The 25385-nt window shown below is 38.7% G+C and overlaps 1 protein-coding gene across 18 annotated transcripts in view, besides 1 other annotated feature; it reads right to left on the reverse strand.

Annotated features, from left to right (window-relative positions):
- The window catches only part of FOXP1 (forkhead box P1), a 629271-nt gene that overhangs the window by 27453 nt on the left and 576433 nt on the right, over window positions 1–25385 (reverse strand). For 16 of the 18 annotated variants that reach the window (NM_001244810.2, NM_032682.6, NM_001349340.3 and 13 more), the window contains 2 exons: window positions 18812–18899; window positions 5834–5917 (listed from right to left, as the gene is read on the reverse strand). In NM_001244810.2, coding sequence (NP_001231739.1) covers window positions 5834–5917; window positions 18812–18899 — 172 coding nt within the window. The remainder of the gene's footprint in view (window positions 1–5833; window positions 5918–18811; window positions 18900–25385) is intronic. The other 2 variants (NR_146143.3, NR_146142.3) reach the window with 1 other exon arrangement.
- Window positions 3078–4119: an enhancer, noted in NCBI's record as "VISTA enhancer hs864". NCBI's record gives its function as "enhancer in: heart[4/9]" and the evidence as "EXISTENCE:transgenic organism evidence [ECO:0001131][PMID:17130149]".

Genomic DNA, 25385 nt, shown 5'->3' on the forward strand with positions numbered 1-25385 from the left:
GAGTGCCCCCCCAAAAAAAATTAATTACAGACTTAGAACAGAAGAGCAAATGGGGAATGGTGTGTGTTTTTGCTGTAATCTTGAAATATTCATCTTAATTGTAAACTATTAAATCTTAATGTAATCATCAATTAGAAATGAAAGCATATGTGCTTTGTGTTTCTGATTGCAGTTCAGGTTTTAAAAGATAATTTTTTCTGGGGCATGGGGCAGGAAGGGAATGGACTGGGAGGGTTTCTTTTCCTGATGGAAAGCCTATTTTTCTTATTGTGTTCCTTTTCTATTTAAAAGAAGTTGCTATGTTTAGAAAAGTCAGTAACTCTGATATTTTCTACATGGCAAGTTTCCATCATGTGATGATTTCAGCAAAGATAATCTCTTTGAAACTCTGGCCAAAAGTTAAATTCTTATGTCATTTAAAATTGCTGTAGGGTTTTATTTTTTAAATTTATTTGTACTCTCAGGCATCAGCTTTTCTTTTAGCCATCGAAACTATTCAAACTTGGTTGGCTACCCACTATTCTGCTTAGTCCCTTTTTTTTTTTAATTAATTAATCTTTCTTTAGTTTTTAACAGTAATCTCCCCTCCTGTTTAAAGATGATGAGTCACTCACATTAAAAAAATAAACTGCTGATGTAAACCCCTGACAGAAACAGACTTGTAAGTATTCCCATAAGAACTCATTTTTATTTTTGTTTGTGCTCTTGCCTCACATGAAAACAGATTCTGAGAACAAAAGACAAACCTGAAACCCAAACACCAAGGGACACAACTGCGTAGTAGGGACTTTCGGGCTCACAGAACTTGTTTTTCTGCTCTTGTTTTACTGGCCTGAGCCAGCTCAAGTCCTGCTTTAACTGCATGGCAGTGTCATTTCTGGGCATGAATCACTGAGTTCAGAGACGGCCTTTCTGAGGCTGGAGGGACGTTACCAGGCCGTGCGGAGGGCAGGACAATGGGTGGCAGCCTTTGTTACAAGCCTTTCCTTTCCTTTCCTTTACCATCTCAGCCTGGCCCTGTTTTAGAGAAGCGAACTCGTGGAAGGTTATGACTTACTTAGAAGGTGGTGGTACTGGCAGGGATACTAAAAGCAAAAACAAAAAAATTCTAGTTGAAAGGTTGGTGGGGGTGGGGCACTTAATGAAAAACAGTATATAAAACAGCTTTTGTGTATTGTGCCTAAGAATCCCTTTTTATGACTGCTTAATATTATTTCTCCAACTCTAAAGCAAGGACCCAGGCAGCCCAAATGATCCTTGAAGAGTTAAAAGACCCTTTCTTTTCGGGGGGGCACTTTGTTTTTATAGGAGCTAAAAACTCTTTCAAAACAGTCCTAATGGCTATGGTTAGAGGAAAAGAAAATGTATAAAAATGAAAATCTAATACTATATTTCATTACAAATATCCAAGTTCCTGTAAGTGCTTTATAAGATTTTCGTCAAGAAGAATATACCACCTACACTGTAATTACGTGCCCACCAAATCTAAAAGAATGTGGTTTCTCCAGGAGCAGAAGTTGTTCTCTGATGTGCAGGAATACCCTAAAGCAAAGCGTTCTTCTCATGTACTCAGTATTATAAAATACGATTTACAGTGTTTTCCTGACATAATGACAGAGTGTGAAAAGTCTTTTTAAGAAATCCGTAGTAATTTAATAAAGTCATCATATCACAGACATGTTTCTTTTTGTTTTTGTTTTGTCCTCTTAGTTTTTCACTCCCTCCCCCAAATGAAGTATCTTGGCAAATTCTCCACAGAGTAAGCACGGAGAAATTAACCTCCAAGCAAGACATTTGGGTGTTTACTTTGAGAATGTTTACTGAGTCTGGAACAAAAGAATATCAATCATTTTCATTAGGGCAGTTTACTATTGTTTGTTTTTGCTTTTCTTTCCATAGAAAAGAATAGAATCTTTTAAAATAACAAGAAATGTGGCCATTCTAAATGTAAGAACTGCTTTTCGGCTCTATGTACCTGAGAGCTAGAGCTTAGGGCTGCTCTGGTCAACTTACACATACTACATACGTCCACGCAGGGTCCAGTCTTTATAAAATTAAAAGTTTGAAAAGCTTGTCTTAACTGATGTTGGCTATTCCTTTTCTTCCTCTACACTGATACTCACCAATCAGAGGGACCGATCTGGGCACCCACTCTTAACCTAAGGAAAGGTTCACAAGGCTGACCTCTTACCATTTCTTCCTGCTCATCTTGTAGGTTTCAGCTTAGACATCATTTCTCCCAGCAATCTCCCCTGACTTTACCATTCTGGGTCAGCTGTTCTACTTACAGGTAGTGCAATTCACGGAAAGTGAGACTGTGTGAGTATGTATGTAGTTTATCTGTTATTTCTTTTACCAGACTCTGAACACCTCCATGGCAGGGATGGGCCTTGCTCATGTGACTGACTACTTGTCACGTATGTCACATGCTCAAGAAATATTTGTTGATGGAATAGTTTGATTTTAAATGCAGAAATTCCCTTTCCATAACCAACCTGCACCTTGAGTCTTTGGTTTTGTTCTGAAAGGAAGATTTTACTTAGGTTTAAAGAGATGTGATAGCAAGCAGGAAGAAAGGCCGTCGAAGGAGTCTGAGGGATGGGAAGCCCGTGAGCTCCTGCCCCAGTTCACCCATAAGCTTTCTTCCTCAGATCCATGTCCAAAAACTTGGGCACCTTCCCGAGATGAGCGTATCCTCTAACTATCCAAATCTGATGAGTCCCACAATAAGATCCAGAAAATGCGTCTATGAGCTGATGTAAAAACAATCTAAGAACGTTTTAGCAGTTTCTTTGATGCAATGAAATGAGGACTGGTTGGATGATTGGATACAGCAAATGACACTTAACACCCAAATGGCATTTAGTGAAAAGCAACATTTACAGCAAAGCATTCTATCACTTAGTGACTAAGAATTTTAAAATAAACACGAGGTTTCTTCTACACAGAAATGGAAAAAAGAAAAAGCTTCATGAACTTACTGGCAAGGTTGTAACATGAAAGTCCCCATCTATGGTTAGATTTGAATCCTGGTGACTGCCTGTTTCAAATTAAAGATTCTAGAAGGATACTCATTCAAACAAACGCCATGCATTCTATTATTTAGGGCGGAATAAATTAATTACAGACTGCAGGGAATATTTTGCACATGAGAATCAGTCACCAGATAGCTCTGGGCCCTTAAAGTTGAAAGCATCAAGGGTTTGCTGTATGTGTGTGCCCTTTTTTTTTTCTTTTTGGCAAAGAAGTGAAAATTTATGCAAAACATTACACGTCTACCTTTTATAATTAATTTCCCAATGCCTCACCTATACATATTTTAATAATTCCTGATTTATAAGATGGTATCTTTAATAAAATTTTCTATTTTCCAATAAATGAAAAGAAGGCAGGTTCACTCCGACAACAGAGTGTCACACAATATCTGCTTGTCAGGCACCAATTTTTACTTCTTACATGTAAGTTAAAGGATAAGGAATTTATAATGCTGCCTGTGAAGGGAACCACTTTTCATACACAAATGTGATCTTTTTTTTTTTCAAAGGGTAATACAACAGTACATTTACATAAACTAATCCAAACAATCTATGTATTTGACAATGGCAAACCTCACACAGACGGCCTATTGTTGGTTTACATCTTGGAGTTCTTTATATTGGCTTGTAGCGCTGCTCTAGCTGTCAAAGGTTTGACTTGGACTCTAAATAAATGGTTATAGAAGTGCTGTGCAGCGATATTGGACTTCTTTGCAAAAGAAAACCTGCTGTGTATGAATTCAAAAGCTATTAATTTTTCAGTCAAAAATATTCGTGCCGATTTCTTCTAATAAAGAAATACTGTGCTGAGCTACTAAGAGATAATGTTGACTAGTGGTAGAGAATTTTCAATAGAGCAGTTAAAAATAAATTTAGTAGGAGGTCCCCTTCAAAGTTACAATTTTCTAGAAAGTAAAACATTTTTTTTTAATACTAATCAAGACAAACCTTCCATCCCTGTTCACTTCCCCCCATGCTTTTCCCTGTTTACCAGCTGCTTAACACTGGTCCACGTGAAGAATCCCAATGGTCCTTTTGTGGCCCACAGGGGCTTACACACATGGTGCTCTCTGCCAACACCCAGCCCGGTCACTCGCCAAGCGCCCTACGGGGTTTTGTAGTTCCTTATCTTTAATTGTATCCTTCCTCTTCCCAAGAAGCCCCAAGATCCAGGCCTACAGTGCTGGGTCCAACCATTATCCTATCACTGTTTTTAATCCGTGGAGGAAGACAGAGATAATCTCATTCTCTCGCTTGCTGCTAGGTGCAAAGATTTGAACCCTTCAATCTGGGAAAACCATTTCACTAAAGCCATCTGAAGACTTTCAAAAAGTTCCAAGGCAGTGAATGCCCTGTGCAATTGGCTATGCTTCTTCGAGATGACTTCAGCCAAGTTGTCTCAGAGGCTCACCATTTTGCTTAGCTGGGTTCTAGAAGGAGGGGTTGCTAGAAATAGCACAGCTGACTACTGATGCCACAACAGTGAATGACCTGGTTCTTTTTTTTCCTTTCTTTTTGGTAGCCTACACATCTAGTCCTATAGCCATTTACTGTAAAATAATACACGGAAACTAAGGACTCCTTCCTGGTAAAAATGGATGCACGAAGTGTTTAATAATTTTATGTCCTTTATCTCAGTAATGTGTTCTGTTTCAGACATTAATTTTGCCTGCCAACTGCATCTTGGCAGGCTACCATATTTGCTGGGTTAATAGTCTGACTCCGTTTTATTTCTATCACCATAAATCATACATATATGGGTGTATGTTTGCTTTATTTATAGAAAAAAATCAGTCAAAACAGATAAACCAATACTTTGCCATTACGCTGCATCATTGCATATTGATTAAAATCGCTGGTACTAACTATAGATTGTCAACGCTCAATTAATTTTCACACAGTGACTCCAAGCAAAATCAAATAAAGGCAGTGTACCTTTAAATTTTACAAATCTTAAAATCAAGAAGCAAAGCACTGTCTCCATTTTGAATAATCAGTTAAAGCTACTAGGAGAATTTTAGAAACGTAAGAGGAATATGACCGTTAAAGAGATCGATTTATTACAAGGAAGGAGGTCCAAGACAAACTTTTAGGTTCAGACACGATCCTTCTGCTTCGGTATTAACAGCCTGTGCTGGGATGACACCCTTCAAGGTCCAGTAAAAGGGAATAAGGCAAGAAAGAGGAGATTCTTACAAATTAAATGTAATTTCAGTATACTGTGTTTGGTCTCCTAACTGTGAAGGAATAATTTTCATTTCAAACTCCTTAGTAACCATTAGAGCCTCTCCATAATTTAGCCTCTGACTATTCCAACACTAGGTTTCCTATGTCTTTCCTCTGTTAAGAGTTAGACTGGACTACTACTCCCTGCTCTTTTTCCTACACACCACTGTCTCTCAGCTTACCCGAGCTGAAATGCCTCTTTGCTTTGCTGTCATGGTTTAGCTGTCTTCTCTGCGTTCCTACCATTCAGAAAGATTTTCTTTTTCCAGGGAGCTCTCATAATGTATTTCAGTACCTTGCTTGGGCACCAATCATTCTGCCTTTAAAGAAGAGCTGGGTGCTTGAGTCTTATGGGCAAGGACCATATCTGAATCATCCTGTATCTCCCCAAATGCCTAGCATATGACCTTCATCATAAAGGATAACCAGAAACAGTCGCATGAATCTAAGGCCCTCAAAACTCAAAGCTCCACCAAAGTAGGCTGGTCCTCCTTCCTCCATTTGGGGTGGGGAAGTAGAAAAGGAATACTGTGAGTTTTGTTTTTTTCCCCTTGGTGGGGATCAATACTTACGGGCTGAGGGGCGGCTTTGGGTTCTGTAGACTTCACATGCAGGTGGGTCATCATGGCTTGCAGGCGTTCTTTGTCTTTTGCAAGCTGGCAAGAAGAAAATGCTTTGTTATTTCTCTGAATAAAGATGCATGGCTCTTAACACCAAAAATGATACATATTACAAATTACGCTATGGCACCACAGCACATGATAAAATCATTTTCATTGCTTGTTTTTGAAATCTACATGACCATTGCCAAACTCGAAGTAACCGGAGGTGTTGGTGTGAGATTTCTCAACACAAGATGCATTAGACTTTAACTGGGAAGTTCTAGACCTGCTGGCACCACGCAGTCCCATGGAACACAGACAGCTAAAAGACAAATGTGAATCATGCCTATTAACCAACCTTATTCATGAGAAAAGCCAAGGGAAAGTGAGCTAGGTAGCTAAAACCCATAAATTCATCTGTTGTGGTTGTGGAAAAACTCCTAGACAGATGGATACATTTATGCAAAATTAGCTTCATCTTTCTTAACAGGTAGGCATAGATTAAGACAGTGCTGGCAAATGATATTAGCAGGCCAGGAGCAGGCTCCAAGGGATGACAGGTTCCCATTTTCAAACGAGTGTAGAACAAGCTTGCTCATTCAATTTACTCAAGATTTGAGTACCTGCTATGTGCTAGTCTCATCTTAATAATTTAAGTCTCCTTATTCTATAAAAAAAGATCTTCTGAAGTCACACAAGTTTCTAATTGGATATACATAGTAGGCACTCAAATACTACTGATTGGAAGCTACATCCTTTATGCTTCGCTTGGACTGCTTTAACTCGATATTTTCAATAGTTCAAGACAGTTGGGCATAGGGGACACATAACGATTACTTCTGTAAAAGAAGTGGGAAATATATCCCCTAAAGATAAAGGGATAGTCAAGAGAACAGCTGTGGCATTTAGGGAAGATGGAGAAGAGATTAATATGAGAGAGAGAGAGGAGAGAGGGAGAGAATACAGTTTAATTTCAATACTTTGGTACATCATTTGTCCAAAATAATGCCTTAGATTTAAGGAGGGACTCATTAGTTCTGTCACATAATTAACCTTAAATCCTTTAAAAATAAAGTTTTTTAAAGTCAAATTATTCCCAAATAAAAAAACAAATATAGTTTATCTATTTAAATACAGTTATTTTCTAAGGAAGAAGGGGGACAGGGGTCGGGGATTGTGGAAAGATGGAGAAAAGGGAAACCGTACAAAAGGGAGAAGGGAAAAAGCTTTCAGCTTATCCCTACTGGATGACTCAGTCTCCAGCCATATCACATTTGATTTTTTTTTTCTTTTTATTCCCTTGTGGTTCAGGGAGGAATAAATTAAGAAAGAAAGAAAAAAACAGCCGTACAGTGTTAGCATTTATCTTTCAACAAACAGGAAATGAAAATGATACCATATTAGGAGCCACTTGATGGTATTCCTCCTCTGTTCTTTAGTAAGTTATTGAACAGCCAAACTAAAAGATTCTCTGAACACATAATGCTAAAGGAATTTAGTTTTCCAAAGAGGCTTAGAACAATTAAAATGTTGGGAATGCTATTTTTCTGCCATTATTATTATTTTTTTTAAAATGTAAGTATCCTAAGCTTTTTGATGTCAAATACTCAGACTTTTTAAGAAATGTTTTGTTTTAAAGTTATCAAAGGCCAGAAGGAATTAAGAAATCAGTTGTATTTTTCTTAAAAACAAGCAGTAGTCTGTCATGCTGAACAATACAAATTAAAGGGTGAGAGGTGATATTTACTGAAGTCTGCTGAATATTAATTGTGACTTAATTTGGGGGTAAACGTTGTTGATGTAGCAATTATACCTTGTACCACTAAGTGTGGTATAAGGAAAATCCAAATCCTGGGCATTTAAAGGAAACATCTTCTCCATATTTCCATCCAAATGTCTACCAAACTGATCTTTTACTGGTCAGCCAAAGGTAGCAACACTACATTGCAAACACATACCTAGAATTTGTATACACAGCCACTTTCATAAACCCTGGAAGTAACTGCCATCGGAAACATTTTCATATTTTTCCATGAGCACATTGCTTAGAATTCATCGTCAATTCTGAGAGTTATCCAGGAACCTCAATTGTACCACCCTAGTTCTGCTTTTCTAAAAGATGGACAAGGTTACACAAAAAGGCAAAAATCTAACTTTTTGGTTTTGTTTGGTTAGTGAAAACTAATGTGTAGTATCATACTCTTGAATGAGTTTTAGACTTTAAATCAATTACAGCTCTAACACAAACTGTTTTAACAATTACAGAAAGAAACCCGCCAAATTCAGTTTTTCTTTTTTTTAGGCAAAAAGGCTAAACATTCACACCTATTGAAACCACATCCTGTCTACAATGTCTGTCTTGCATTTATAATACTAACTGCTCCTTCCAAAAGCTTTCACATTCTTTATTACTTTTTATGCCATCATCCCATGAGCTCACCATCCCCATCAATTTTCACGGCATCCTTTCATTATTAAAATATGAGGATACAAACATTTAATATTAGCAAGCATATTCCAGCATTTCCTCTTAAACTATGAATTCCATGAAAAGCAAAGAAAAGGAGGTTGAGACATTCAATCCGAAGGCCCACTAAAATTTGGTTGGCAAATTAAAGAGAAAATTTGTGTTGAAATATCAGAGAAGAGAATTACTCTCTAAAAGACTTTCCCAGTGGGTATGGAATGAGTATCTAGCATAAAGGAAATGACAACGGCCTAAACATTAGAGGGAGCTGCTTGTGCAGGGGTCATTTTAATCTACTGAATTTGTTCAACCATTCTGTAGAACGATGGCAGGGTGAAAACGGTTAAGGATGTGGACACAACAATCACACTGTGCTGTGTTCAAATCCTGGCTCAGTGACTCAGCACATTATGTAACCTTTTTAATTACCAAGTTTCTCCTTCTAAATACGGAATGATCATCTCTGAACTCTGAAGGGGTGTTCTGAAGATCAGATGAGGTCTTGCACATAACAAGCTTAGCAAAATGACTAGTGCTTTATGAATGCTCAACAACTTTCTAATTTTTTTTTTTTTTTTTAAGAAAAGTGAAATCGGTCCAGTGTATTTAAACTACTGGCTGAGTATATGTTTGAAATCTGGATCTGCCTAACAGGGGTTCAATGGAGTTTGCAGTTGGGCTAACTGGGAAGGGAAATAATTTTGATCGTTTAAAGAATGGAACAGAAAGCAAAGGAAAGATGAAGCCCACTTCCTATCAATTTGTCTCAGGTTCTTACTGTATCTTCCCCTCATCTTGGGCAAATATTTTTCTACCCTTTGGCCGAAATAGGTCATCTCCTCTTCTATTAGCCATGGCCTCAAATTAGGTTTAAGACAGTCTGGGCTGTGAAAGATCAGAATTTGTGTATTGCACCCGAGCCACTGATAACTGCCAAAGGCTAGGAGTTCCATTCAACATCCTCAAAGATACAAACTAAGATTAATCTTAAACTCATTATTTTAACAGAGAAAAGGGAACACGGTTTGGGGTTCATTTAACATCACCATTTTCTATGTTGTCAGGAGGACTAATCATTTTAAGGCCAATTTGGCAGTTCTCACTCGTGAGAAACAAAACTCTGCTGAAATAAATGAAGGGCTTTGTATGTGTAAAAATGCTAGACTTCTTGAGGACAGATGAGAAGAAAGGGCCAAGACACTCCTTTGATTTAACAGAGGTAAAGGCTACTGTGGCTATTTCAAATCCATTAATCCTATTCTGTTTTATAATTGGGGAAACTGAGGTTTGCAAGGTAAACATATCTGAGGTCAGGGAACTGGGAAGGGGCAGAAATAAGACTAGGGTCCCAGTTGTATGATGCTTGGTCTGAGTTTCCCACACTAGTGTGATTCTAAGAATCACCTGGGACAATAACTCAAATCATAGGTCTTAGTCTCCCTCCCTGCTCTCATGCTGAACTACTGTTCCTAGAGTTAGACGGGATTTTAAATTATGAAAAGAAGGTGTCTTTTCAAAGAATCTCCATGGAAGGGGGGCACATGGAGTTTTAAGAGGCACCTAAATGAATGCATGAGTTCAGATTATCCCATACAATGATGATCTCCAAGTGAAACGACTGCGGTCTCACCTAAACATGCTGGAGCCAACACTCCAACAGTGAGGCTTGGAAGTAGGTATTTTTAAATAAGGACCCCAAGTGTCCAAGTTTAATCAAGTTAAGTGAGAGACACTACTTTCTGCCACGGACTGAGAAGGCCTTAAACAGTGGCTGTATACGTTTCCTCAGTAGTTTCGTATACAATGATGATCCAAAGAGATTAACCCGATGTGGCCCAAGCATATCCAGTTACTTAGGCAGGGTATATCCAGTTACTTAGGCAGGGTATATCCAATAACACAGGTCTCTGACGTACATATGATGAAAAGAAGAAAAACAAGGGGGAGAAAAAGCAGTGACTAGAAGGAGCAGAACTCAAATTACTCTACCAAACTGAGCATTTATCAATTATTTTTGACCCACCTTGTCAAACTATGGCTTCAGAACTTAGTACCAGTGAAAAACTTTTAAATGAGTTCTTTCACACCAACTACCGCATTCAGGTGGTGGGCAATATATGGCTCATTGCACCCCAATCGAAGAATTTCCCTACTTTTATTGTACTCTGTCACCATCTTAACGTTCCTTACATGTTATTATTAAAGACTCTCTTGACATTTAAAGCAGACGCACACTAATACTAAGTCATAGTCTAGGAATTCTAATGCTCCCAGAGTAAGGCAGGATTTTAAATTATGAAAAATAAGTGTCGTGGTTTTCACAGAAGGACATGGAAGTGAGAAACCCAGAGACTCTCTCTCTTCTTTTTCTTGGCTCCAGTTACAAAGCACTGGCAATATGGAACTACCGTGCTGTTAGGACCTCTCTTTCCCCGACGTGCTCAGGGCTTGTGCAGGGCATATCAGGAGGCTCTGTGAGGCCGCTAGTATAGGAACTGTCCTGAGTATTGCCTCAAACAGGGTTAGACAGGGCCAAAGGGGGATACATTACAGATAATAAATTTGCTAAAGTCTAGGAGGCTGGTGTGATTACAAATAGCACCACTAATGGTACAGTAATCACATGTAAAGTTCGTACGGTAATTGATTTGTGTTAGGATTAATGTCTCCCTCTGCTACTGAAACTTGTGCACTTTTCTCCCTGCTGACATTTTCTTAGAGCTTACAATTCCTGGTGTAGATGATTTGGGAGATGTTGGAGTGATCCCAGTGTCACCGGACTCCAGCCTTGCCTTGCTACCATGGAATGCCCAGGACAGAGCTCCGCAAGGCAGAGTGGCATGGCCCCCAAAGCCGGGTTTTAAAACCAGTTCCTGCGTAGAGCCCAGCTGGGCCACAATGATCCTCTGGGTGGAAGCGTTAAGGCAGGATCCCACAATAAAAGGAGCACAGGCTACAAAGGCTGGGTTAACCTCCTGGGCTCTGCCCTTATTCGCCATTGGCATTAAACAAGTTAATCAGACCTCCTAAACTTCAGTTTCCTCATCTGGGAGGGATCCCTGCAAATTATTTCTTTGACTCTAAGAGGCCAGTGATAGTTAAAATAACCATGGATTTAGTAATACCTTCTCAAAGAATGAGAAGAAACATTACATTAAACACACTCATTAAATGTAAGACATATATTGATTTCCAAATGTTATATTTTTCTTTTAAAAAGTGACTCCTACCTGGGCACACTGGCCTGTAATCCCAGCACTCTGGGAGGCCGAGGCAGGCGGATCCCTTGAGCTCAGGAATTTGAGATCATGCTGGCCAACATGATGAAACCTGTCTCTACTAAAAATACAAAAATTAGCAGGGCATGGTGGCACATGCCTATAGTCCCAGCTACTTGGGAGACTGAGTCAGGAGAATCGCTTGAACCCGGGAGGTGGAAGTTGCAGTGAGCCGAGATCCTGCCACCTACACTCCAGCCTGGGCAACAGAGCAAAACTCCGTCTCAAAAGAAGAAAAAGAAAAAGAAAAAGAAAAAGAAAAAGAAAAAGAAAAAAAAGTGACTCTTAGAATCAAGGAAATAGGGTGGTGTGTACTCACAGAGGGACTGTGGGGATTCCAAGAAATTCGGGACATAAGGCACCTAGGACAGTGCCCTGGCATACAGCAGGAGCTCAACAGCTGGCCAGTCAAATGGTTTCCAAGCCAGATGAAATAATTACAAGCAGAAGATGGGGCATTCAATAGCTCTCTCCCACAGCTAGTGGAGTAGGGTGACCCAACTCCTCCCAGCTTGCCCAGGACTCTTCCAGTTTTGAAACTGAAAATCCCAACTCCCAGGAATCCCTTCAGTCCAAGAAAGTAAACTGGGACAGTTGGTCACCCTATTTCGTGTTAAACAGACAGATTAATTTTAAGAGCAATATATCCTTCCACTATCCTTTCTTCCTTATCCTACAATCTAGGCAACGTCTTCCATGGCTCCCTTGGCCTGGAATGTCCTTGCCAACAACCCTTTCCACTGTCACCTTCCCCAATCCCTCACCCCTTGCTTTTAGAAACTCTGCCTGGCAGGGAAGTTAAAGGCATCCTGGTCTTACCCTACTAGGTTGTGTATTACGGGAAGAGGCCACACCACCTTACTATCTGTATCCAGTGCTCCCTATATAATAGGTGCTTGGTAAGTAGTGACTGAATGGAATAAAATCATTAAAGAATACAAGGTACACACACCTCCACCCCCGTCGCCTGCCAGGCAGATCAACCTTGGTTTGGTTGATTCCTTTTTCCCTTGCCTGCTTTCAATATTCATTTTAAAGGGCCTAGAGGCTGAGGGGTTGTAGGGAGCCTGTCCTGAACCTGCCCCGATGACACATGATGAAAACATCAGGACATCTTCATCCATCAGAAAAAATATACAGCAGTTTAGCAATGTCACATGATCACAGAACAAATTAAAACCACTACATGTGATCAGAAATATGTATCTGTACCACTGTCTCAGCTTCCTAAGTGAAGTCAATTCTGTCAGATGTTTTTTGTATTTTTTTTTTTTCTGTCTGTGAAATCAGATGGTTTCCCCTTTTCCCCAAACGGAATTAAAATCCAACCACCACTGCAACTTTTTGTGACATCTCTTCTTTAGCTTAGAGGCTGGAAGAGTTCATATGAATGTCCCACCTAAGAGGACCCAAGTAATCTGGATTCATATGAATTTAAATCCCTAGGCCCACGGCCGGTGGACAGTGGGGGCCCAATATCGCGGAAGCTTCAAGTGTTTCCTTACAATCCTGGCCATGGCATTTCTCAGTGGGGAGTTCTTATCCTCAACAACTTTCTAGTTCCTGTGTCTCTGTCCCTCTGTCATGGTGGGGGTGGAGGGAAGACTGCACATTTCATAACCTGTATAAGATTATGTATACTGATTATGGGAACTTTGCTCCATTCCATTTCTAACTCATCTCATCTGTACATCATTCCAAAAGAATCTGTCAAAAAAGAACAGATGAAATCTTACTGCATTCCCTGATTTCAAAAAGCCATGTATGTCATCGACCCAAATGATTTTTATGGTGTCTGTCTCACTGTTAGGTGTCTATGTGTATAGTATAAGGAACTCACACACCTCTCAGGGTTTACACTTTTAGATCCCAGTTAATAGCTGGGGTCCACTGGTAAAATGTTTAAAAATTATAACTGTCTTTGCAATAATGAAATGCAGTAGGAAATGTTTGAAAAGGCTCAGAAGGCCCACTGAGATGTCTTCTTGACTCTTCTCCAAATAAGACCAGTAGAAGGTTGCAACAAGAGAATGGAATTAACCAACCCTTCCCTGTTAACAAGCTCTACATAAACATTCTTTCTACCGCTAAGAAAACATTCACCATATATTTTTACATCTTTCAACAATAATTTAACAAACATAGATGTACCTTGCCTTTTGTAATTGGTATTTCTATTGAAACTGTGGTTTCGTAAATCAAGTCATATTTTATTTTATGATTATTAATTTTCTTGAGATGGAGTTTTGCTCTTATTGCCCAGGCTGCAATGCAATGGCGCAATCTCGGGTCACTGCAACCTCCACCTCCCAGGTTCAAGCAATTCTCCTGCCTCAGCCGCCTGTGTAGCTGGGATTACAGGCATGTATCACTGTGCCTGGCTAATTTTGTGTTTTTAGAGATGGGGTAATCTCCATGTTGGTCAGGCTGGTCTCGAACTCCCGACCTTAGGTGATCTGCCCGCCTCAGCCTTCCAAAGTGCTGGTATTACAGGCGTGAGCCACCACGCCTGCCCGGCCTCAAGTCATATTTTAAATACACAGGGACAGGACAGCTGTCATGCACAGTGCTGATTAGACAGTCTAAATCAGTCTCCACAACCCATTGTCTTTATTTCTGCCCAGCTTCCTGAAATCTCACCAGTACAGCCTTGAAAGCTTTTCAGTTTAATTCAAGTTTGGTATTGTACAGATAGCTCTGTGAAGGGGAACATCTCCAGCCACTATCCCCTATGGCTAACAGTAGTTATTTTGGAAAAATTGCATCTTTTTCTTTAGGGAGGTTTGTCTGATAGATCAGAGACACAAGGGCCTTCCATTTTGGGTGAAAGTTTTCTGGGGTTTAGATTCAAGGAGGCTGTCTAGGTACACAGCACTTAAGTGACCTTCACCAGCTTTGGTTGCTTCTACAGCTACTGTGCCCTCTGAATTGTCCTGTGGAATCCTTTTATGATGACCCTCTAGGTTAGACATCCTGAACCTCCATCGATGTATATGGTAAGATTCAATCTGAGCTTACTGGGTTTGCTTTTACGATGGGGCACATGTGTGGTCTATCTCTACCACATGTGAACACTTACGTACCATGCTGAAGAGAGAGGTCTTGTGAGTCTGAGTGGCAGGGGAGATTTGTCCTCCTACTCTAATACAGTGATCATCCCCCTTTGGAAATTGATGAAAACTTAACTGCTCTTTCCTGTAGTGCTACGTGGGACAAATGTTTTTCAAGTTCAAGCTAATCAATGATAATTTTGTAACACACTGAGATACTTGGAGGTTCAGGTTTTTCCTGGACTGATAAATGCTTTAAGAAATACGAAATAGGCTTTGGGTCAGTAATGTGCAGGTAATCCCCTCTAAAGGAGGTGATGCACCAGTCAGTGGCTGAGAGAACAAGGGAGGGACGATGCCAACAGAAAACGGAAATAGGCTGTTTGACGACAAGCACATCTCTTTAAGTGTTCCTGCTGCTGGAGGGACCTGATTGCCCCAATAATTCAGGTTCTATGGGCACAATGACTGGTAGTCAAGTAAGTTAAAAAGTATGTTTCTAGACACTGGTATGTTAAGTGGCAAATGCAACAGCACAAACCTAGCAATGCTGAACTGCGGAGAAGGAGGAAGCCTATAAAGAATAGATTCGAGTATAACTGTACTGTGTCCCAAATGCCCCCATATGTGGTAGGTCTGCAACTCAAAGACTCTCAATCGAATCCTTGGTTAAGGCTTCTCTTAACTGTGTCTCAGGGCAAGGGTTCTTTAAATACTAAAAATTGCTAACATTTTCTTATCTATTTCATCTGATTGAGTGATAACTAATGGATATAACCTGCTTTGGCTTGGCCCCTTTCTAGCACTGAAACTCTCTTTTGAATAAATTTCTGGTGTTCTCAAGAACCTGTTAATGTCAGCTAGCACTGCCCAATGAATGGACAGTCGCACTAGCAAATTATTTTGTAGTCTATTCTTCCTTCTAGAGTGTAAGAACTTGGAGGGCAGCTTTATCTGTTTTAATCATTGTACTCTGCAGTAGCTCCAGCAAGATTCCTGCTATCTGATAGGTTCGAAATATGCTTGCTAAATAAGTGGATGGATGAATGGATGTCTGGGTGGATGAATGGATGGATGGATGCATGGATGAAAGAATGAATTACTATCCCTCGTCCAGCTTTCCATGACCTCCAAAACTGGCAGGCACTTGCCATGTGAAGAGCTAGTAGGGAAAATTGACCCATGTGGAGACTAGACTGGTTTTATACACCCTGGCTAAGAAGAAAGAGATAAAAGCGGGTGAGCAGAGCTTAGGCAGCCAGAACCTAAGGGGACAAGTTGCTAATACTATAATATAAATTGTTTTTCTGATCCTCTTGACCAGGGGTGCCTGGCAAACTTCTGTAAGAGCCAGATCATAAATATTTTCAGCTTTGCAGGCCATGTAGATTTCAGTTTCAATTACTTGACTCTCCTACTGTAGTGCAAAAGCAGCAATAGGTAATCAGTAGATGAATGGGCATGAGTATGGCTGTGTTCTCATATAATTTTACGCATGGACACTGAAATTGGAATTTCCTAGACTTTTCACCAGTCACGAAATAATGTTCTTCAGATTTTTCCCTCAACCATTTAAAATATAAAAACATTCCTTAGCTTGTGAGATTTGGCCTGGGGTCTGTGGGTTGCTAACCCCTGCTCTCAACGAGGTCTATGTCATCACTCTGATAATTCCCTCAAGCTTTGCAGAAATGGAACACGTCAGAATTAGCCTGTCCCTTCTTCCATTACGGCAAACTCCCCGACAAAAACATTACGAGGAACATCACAGGTAACGACCACATTGTACTAACTTCTGGCCAGATCATCTTTGATGTCTATCAAAGCTGAAAAATCTGCCTTCAGTTTGATTTATAGCTGAAGGATAAAAGGAAATCTAGAAATAAATGAAATCTATAAATAATCAAAGAATCCTTGTATGTTTGTACTACTTCTAGGCCACACCCACCAAAAAACAACATGAAAGCTGCCAGGAAATAAACACTTAATTTACTGATGATGGTCTAAATCTTTTCCTTCTCCTGACCTCTTTTTGTGGAGAGCGAAGAATAATTCATAAAATAAATGCTCACTTCTTGAGTAATTAACAATGGCTGAACACTCTAATCTGTAGTCTAGAAACGGCTACCCGACAAACCATGACAATTCTAGTCAACGATTTATTTTAGCCCATCATTAAGAATTTAATGTTATCATATAAATAAATGCAGGAGCTCCTATCACTTTATAAGTACCACCAATATGTACAAATTCTGGTAGGAAGGTAGTTTATTCTTTCTCTTTTTTTTTGAGATGGAGTCTCACTCTGTCGCCCAGGCTGGAGTGCAGTGGCGCGACCTTGGCTCACTGCAACCTCTACCTCCCGGGTTCAAGCAATTCTTTTGCCTCAGCCTCCCGAGGAGCTGGGATTACAGGTGCCCGCCACCACACCTGGCTAATTTTTGTATTTTTAGTAGAGACGGGGTTTCACCATATTGGCCAGGCTGGTCTCGAACTCCTGACCTTGTGATCCACCCGCCTTGGCCTCCCAAAGGGCTGTGATTATAGGCCAGATCTTCCAGTTTATTCTTTTGAATCCAGTTTGTCAAGGGCTGTGTCTTAATCATAAAAGAACTCTGTGGGTGGGTTACATCTACTACTGTTTTTTTCTTCTCAATAAACATGTTAATTTAAAGATGTTTCCAAAGACTTATTTTAAAATGTTGAGATTTTATGATGTGCCCTTTTCTTGTATAAATATCTTACTGTTCTAATAAGTTTATATCCAGAGTTTGAATGGAAAAATATTAACTGGCTAACAAAAATAACTTTTGAGACAAATCCTACTAAAAAAATGTAATTGGTCATATAAGATGATAACTAATTAAAAAAAAATCCTTTCTATCCTGAAAAGTCACAACAAAAAGTTTAAGTGTATTTTGGCTGATTTTTCTCTGCAACTATTTGAAGCTGTAAATGACTTAACTCAGTAAAATTCCAAATGTAATTATCTTCTGTACTTAGCCTAGGGCTCTCCATATATCTCAGCATCGCTGTCTTGCATACAAAATAGGCTTTTCGATGGCTGGTAACAATATAATGTACAATATTGTTTTAATTTCCCCTAGTCGGCTAACCTCTTGCCTACACTAGACCAGCCAGAGGAAGAAGCCACTGTGAGTCATCAAGCACTCAAAAGCATTTTGGAACTCGGCTGCATAAATGGGGTTTGCAGGGTCAGGCTGTTGCAATTGTACATTTTAATAATCTCCTTTTCTGACCTAATTTTTACTTTTAGAAACTAATTTTCTATTAATTATACCAAGAATGGAATTATTGTTAAAATATGGTAGTTTATCAAGTTATACCCGGAAGTAGAACTCACATTTAAAAAAAAAGGCCCCATCTCTCACACTGTGATTCCCAGGAAAATCTGCAAACTTTATTTTCCCTAGTCATAAAGCACATTCAACATAGCCCAATGGGTTTCTAAATACTAGATTTTATATATATATATATATATACACTCTACATTAATATATCTGATTATGTGCATGTGTGTTTAAGATGTGCACGGTGAACTCTCAGTTATTCTTAGTGGTGGAGAGAAAAAAGGACAATGCAAAATGAGAAATAAACCCACATATAACTTCCATTGCGACTTGGGAAAACACGGTTTTGGGTGCACTGCCTTGCCGTCTTGGTCTCGCTCGCTCTTTCTCTCTTCATTCACATTCATTCTCTCAAACTCTCTTTCCCCAAGCTTGTCTTCCTAGCTCCAGTTTAATCATATGAGCAACGTCGAGGACTTACACTGACAACAGATAACCAGAAAATGCAAAGGAGAAGTGAGAAGAGAGGGAAAGTGAGAGAGAGATGGAAACATTCAAAGTGGCCGCTGAGAGTTGGCTGCATACACACAGGTGCCCAGAATTTGGAAACCTCTGAGCAGCAGTTCCAAAGAGTGAACTGGGGCTGAACCTGCCCAAAGAGGTAAAAAATAAAATAAAATAAAATAAAATAAAATAAAATAAAATAAAATAAAATAAAGGACAATGACAGGTTTTGGACCTTCCATTCAATAATGAGTACACAGGAACTCATTACAGAACACTACAGAAATCTGGAATTTGAGGCATACTGAGGTTAATATTAAAAATAAATGTGGTTTTACCTGTAGCTCTAACTGCTGTACAACCTGCATTTGTACTCTACATTGGGCTGTACTTCTATCGTCCAGCGCATGCTCACTGTTGAGATGTCTGCAACAATACATAGAAAATCATTAAGTGAAATGGAGAAACAAAAAGGAAAATATAAGTTACCAGGATGTTTAAGCATAAACTAGGCAGCGGGTCTAGCTCCCAGGAGATAGTAGTCCAGGGGGTGGCCTGTCCTTTCCATCCCCACCCTTTAATGCTGTCATTATGTATAATGTGGCACACACTGTTATCACCCAAAGAAAAGCCTTCCAGGGAGAAGTTCTGCAGGGCGTCTGGAGATAACCATTTACACATAAATAAGTAAGAAATTCAGCCAGGGTGGCATTTCAAGACCACCTTAATGGGCAGCAATCAGAGACAGGGCCTGCTAGGTATTTCGGAAGAGTCTAATTTGTATGGGTTGGAACAGGATCGTCTGACCACAGGAAAACTGACTTCATATAACTGATGATACATCCATATACTGAAATGCATTCACGTGAATGTCAGAAATGGCAAAGGGTAGAAAAGCAACTTTAAACATATGAAACCTGAAACATGAGCCTACACATGCAAATTATGTACCAATGGTGGGGGGTGGGGGAGAGAAATGCAGACAATTATTTAAAAGGAAAACTCTGCCTGGGTTCTTGATTGTTGATGGTCTAGATATCCAGTTTACGGATGATTCAGGCCACATGCTGAGTATGCCTGTCTTGTGGTCCTTTTACTATTTATTAGACTTTCCAACAGGGAAAAGGCTAACAAATTGAAATTTCAATCAGTTTTAGCATACGCAGGAGCTCTGGTAATCAGAGGGCTGAATCAAAGCCTAAAGTCTTGAAAATAAAAATTCATGTCTCTACATTACTCAGTCCTTTCTTACTAGTGATACAGCAGACCTGATTCTGTAATGGGATATTTGCCTCAAATTCTATGAACAAGACTGTCATGATATTTAGGCCACATTACAATTTGGATGTAAGATAAAAATAGTTGAATACTTCAATAACAACAACAACAACAGGGACAGCTGATTTTTAAGGCTTCTGGGTGCTACCCTATTTCAGGTTTTTGTTCCAAATGTGGTTTGAATCAGAGATTTAAAACCCAGGTCTGTAACCCTTTGAAACAACTAAGTAAAACAAATGTTCACCTCTGGTACTTGACTAGGTACAATTAAAGCTCACTCCTTTGTTAATGCATCCCCTCTTGTTTAACAGCCCTCAAAATGTAGTTATTTCATGTCCTAAAACTACTTGTAATGACTTTTACCTTAAAAACAAAACGGATACAAATTCTGCTGTTCTTCATACTTATTCATCTCATCCTCGCTCCCCTCCAAAAAAGCAGTAAAGAGGAGACATTATGGTGAACAACAGTGATGCACCTTCAAGGTATTACCTCCAATCTTAGGCCAGAATAATGACTATGGTGTATTCTGTTTAAAGAGTAAATGAACAAACAATAGAAGACCACACAAGGAAGCCCGAGCTAAGCAGTTTCACATGCTGCTCACTCACCTGGGGTGAATAATATTTTACAACTTGCTTTTAAAGAAGCATGTTGTAATTGAGAAAATGGCCTAGTTCAGGTGTTCTTAAACTGGGATCATTCCACTTCTTGAAACTGCATGCAAAAGTTTTAGCCTATGTTTTGGGGCCAGGGAGGGTCTGCAACTGTCAAGAGATTTGCAAAAGAGCCCACGATCCTCAAAGTGTCAGAACTCGGGAGTTAGTTCAATTCCTCATTTTACAAATTCAGAAATCGAGGTTCAAGAGATCCCAAGAGACTTGCCTCAAACCACGTGGGTAATCAGTGCCCCAACCCTTGCAATTAGTCTCTTGTCTCACCTAGGATTCCATCCACTCGATGACACTGTTTGCTTCACTGGAAGTAAAGAAAGAGGCTTTCATTCTAATAAGCTGTCACCAATGAAACAAGACCACAGACCAGGACCCAGTGGACTCCCTGAGTGTTGAGGGACTTTGGTAAGGAAATAGTACTAAACCCACTTATAAAATACATTCATTGGAAGGAGCTGGATTCATCTGTTTAACATTTGCTAAGAACCCAAACGACATGCCAGATGCTACTGGAAGCTGGGCATCACTGCCCTCAAGAAATTCCTCCAGGCTGCACCATCGCTCTTCAAAGTCACCCTCGCCAAACTGATAAAAGATCCAAACGGACAAAAAGCAAGGCCTTCACTTACTTGATTACTCCGCTAGCAGTGGATCTACAAGGGGTTGAAGATAATGAAACGCAGTGAGAGCCTGGTTCTGTGTCTCTTTTGCAGGACACAGTTATGTCCTTAATGATGTTTAAACACAGTATTTGTGGATTAACACATATGGTGATTTTGCACTGCTGTTGTGTATATATAAATGAATAAACCCCTTTTGGATTCCCTAAGACTCCTTATTTTTTTTTTTTCCCATAGCTTCAGCAGTTAATTATGTCATCAAGATAAGAGAAATCAAATGAAGCCAGAAGGAAGGCAAAGGACAACAAGAATAAGAAAGATGGAATCTGTCACAAGCTTGAATTATGAATATAATTATGCGTGATTATTTTATACTGCAAAGATGTTCCCTTTTTCTGCACATTTATAACTAATCTAAATAAGTAGCTTGCCGGCAGACAACGTATTTCATGATTTATATAAAATGGTCGAGATAAGGTTCACGACTGAAGGAAATATGATTGGAGGATTTTTATCAGCCTCTGCATGAATTACTGTTTGAAAATGCTTATGCAGGAGCATTTCATTAATCATTTAATCATAATCCTAGCAGGATGTTTGAACTGATTTCACAAATACCCTTTCATTTCACTACTTCATTATGCTCGCTAATGGATCCAATATATTATATATATCATAAATTATATCACATCTTCAGTGACCATGTAGGTCACTGTCACTAGGCATGCTTCCGTGCTCAACTTGGGAGTTCAGCAAATGTTGCCCAAGCTGACTTTGGGAATTTCACTTTTTTTTTTTGGTTATTTACTATAGTTTAAAGTTTCCTTTATCTAACCAACATAAAGAAAACACAGCATTGTGGACTTTAAGTGGAACCCTACATCCCCCCCCAAGTTCAGAAAATTAAAGCAAAACAATTGTTTCTGCAAGAATGGAGAATTCAAATGTTAGACAAACATTTGTTTTGTTAAAAATGCCACTGTATTTTGTTTTGTTTTTAAAATGATCACGGCTACCATACACTGGATAATTTGGTCAGCAGAAATAGCTCTGGGAAAAAAAAATATTACATGAGCCTGTTATAATCAAGGAGATTAGTAAAAAAAAAATGATTTTGCCTTATTTAATCACGATGATGATGATCTTTCTGAAAGCTAGAAATGTAATATGAAATTCTGATAATCCTGTTCTTTTTGATAAATTAACACCTACACTATATTTTCTTCCGTAACACCAATAAAATGAAAAGAGAGTTGTAGTGATTAATAGTTAAGAATTATTAGCTGAATAGTTAATGGCTATTAACCTATTAACTGAAGTGCACAGTTTTCATTAACAGCTATGTCTTTAACCAGGGTTTAAAGGTGAAATGCAAAAATTACAGATATAACTAAATACTTAACGTTGTGCACATTTTGACGACTTAAAAAAGAAAGACTTTCTACCTTCAGAATCCATTAATATTTTAACTAAAAATTCAGTCACCTAAAACATGCAGCAAAAGAAACAAGGTAAAGGTAGATTCCTTAAGCTTTAATTTAAGATGAATGCAATGGATTTCAAATTAGAGATGTTAAGCCGGTCATACGTGACAAGCTTTGGAATATTTTCTTTTGGTCACACTGCTTGATGGTTCTTTTCATCCTTTGTTACATTAGGGCTCTTTTTTATAATGACACTGAGAGTCACAGTGCATAATTAATAGGAAATGAAATATTCAAATGGCCTCTAATGCAGCCCAGTGAAATGCTGTTGAAATAAAAAGGGCTATGGAAAATGTGGAGACATCAGGAACGGTTATGAACGTTGGCATGTGTCATTTTTCCAGACCGAAATTGATGCAAATATAAAATCTTGCTAAAATACAGCTATAAAAACAACAGGCTACTATAAATATAGATTGTTTGGTAGGATTGAATTTTTATTACTTTTTCTTTAATTTTTTGGTAGACTGCCCTAGTTTCCATTATTCTATAACCATCCTAAGTTGAGACATCAAAAACTGGCAGCATCTCTTAGCCAGTGAGCTGACACTGAGACTCAGGAGCAGTAGTGGGTCTCTGTGAATAGAAACTGAATCAGAGGTGGAGAGAAACAAATACCTGATTTAAAAAAAAAAAAAAAAAAAAAAAAAAACCAGAATCATAAGGAGTGCCCTTTATGAAGACGGGTATAAGAGAAAAAAAATAATGCTAACTTCAGTTGATTTTTATTCTTCTTCAAGACTATAATATAATTTTCTTATCTGTAATAGGCAGAATTCTACTGAAACACATATTAAATCTGAGGATTAATATATTATTTGGGGGAAATGTATATCACCATAAAAACGAGAATAGAATTACACAGTCAAGACACATCATGGATGGAAAACACATTTGGAAAGAATGTGACCCTGTTCATGCATCTCCAAAGACCCACCCTTGATAGGATTGAGTTTAAGTCTATCAAACACAATGTACCTCTTGTTTATCACCATATGGAAGAAGCGCATAAAAAGCAGACGTGAAGAGATTTAAAAAACCTTCCAAAAATAAAGCAAGAAAATCCAAAGCAGAAAAGGAAAAGTAGAGCGCTTCCTTTCTGCCTGTGAGAGACGGAGAGCATTTCAACAGCTGATTCCAGCCTCGAAGTATACAGCACACATAAAATAAATACAGGTCACAAAAATTAACAAATCATCATAACTGTCTAATACATCCTGGGCTGGCTGCGGAAAAACAAGATCATTCTGGATTTATATCTGTAAGTATGGGATTTCCTGGACAGCTAATATCCACAAACAATCAAACACAGGAGGAACACGGGGGAAAAAGGCAGCATTATTTCAAATTTGAGCTGAGAGTCGTGATTTGTAAAGGGCTGAACAGGAACTGGAGTTGAAATTTGAAGCAAGGAAATTCTTGTACTAGGCACTGATGGACACTTCTCTGTTTCTCTTGGCTCCGTACAGGTTTTTAGGTCACTGGGTTTTGAACGTAATGCCAAATGAGAATCTCGCTAGTACAGAAGCTTTGAAAATGACAACTAACTTAATCTCTCAATTTAAATAAAATAATAATAATAAAAAAATCTAATGATACTTCACTCAAGAGTCAGAGCTTTTTATGAGACCTGTTGCCAATATTAGTGTCTTGGAATGATCTCATCTTTCATCCTGGCTAAATTCCAACACACAATTTCATTAACCCAGGTACCGCAGGTGATAAAACTCATTTTTCCCTAAAGAGACAGCTAAAAAGTACCAGTTATACGTTTATGAAGTACCAGCAATCAAAATTATGGATTTTCTAAAAGGTTTTTAACTACTTTTATTGAAAGGAAAATCGCTGTCTCAGACTTTTGTGACACTATTGCTAATAATAAATTTTACCATTTAGACATGGCCATAATATGGTAGACAGTGTCAATAAAAGTATGGAGCAAAGATGATCCCTGTCTTTTAAGTAATGCCTTCTAATTACATGCCGGAAATGATCACATGAAATACCTAAGCTAACTAATGGCTCTTAAAATATAAGAACACTCAACAATGCATCTACAGTGATATAGATGTACCGCATGCACATATGCAGTTATATGTAGAATTAATTGCATAAGTAGACATTCAAAAAATTTTCCAATGTTTTCAAAGCCTACAAGAAAAATTTAAATTTAATTTGCATTTCTAACTAAAATCTGTTTGTTGAAAAAAAATGCGTTCAAATGTTATTTGCTTCCTTTTGAGCAAAGAGGTGGCACTGGGCCTGTTATCTTTGGCAAACTTGTCTAAACTTTTCTATCTAATATTCTATATATCACTAGAGGGCACTGTGGTATTTAGGCCACTTTGACCTCTTCGAGTACTAAGAAAGGTCTTGAACTCCTAAGCAATGTCAGAAAGGTTAAAAAAGACATTAAAAGGGGGAAAAAATTTTTTTTGGTAACACCCTATTTTTATTTTTCTAAAACCAATAAAAAATGCATGATAAGTAGAAAAGTCAAATTCATAAAAATATACAGCTCATTTTGCAATACTCAAAGACTTGTCACCTCAGATCTGATGGGGAAAATTTTCATCCTCATCTTCTCGAGATTTAAATTGTGAGGCTGGAATTTGATTTGCATACATCCACAATTATAGACAGCTATTCCCTCTACATGGCTGAAGTCTCCTACACTAACTAGAGGTAATTTCACTGCAGAACATTCAGGCGTGCAAGCCGAGAGCCACAAATGGGTTTGAAACAATTTATGATATCCGGCCTCCTTCGACATGTATTAGCATATACCTGGTTTCTTTAACATACACTTTGTTTTTCCAAAACCACAAACATAGTTGCTGGAATTTCATGTGGAAG

Source organism: Homo sapiens, chromosome 3 (assembly GCF_000001405.40).
Source record: "Homo sapiens chromosome 3, GRCh38.p14 Primary Assembly".
NCBI classification, from domain to species: Eukaryota; Metazoa; Chordata; class Mammalia; order Primates; family Hominidae; genus Homo; species Homo sapiens.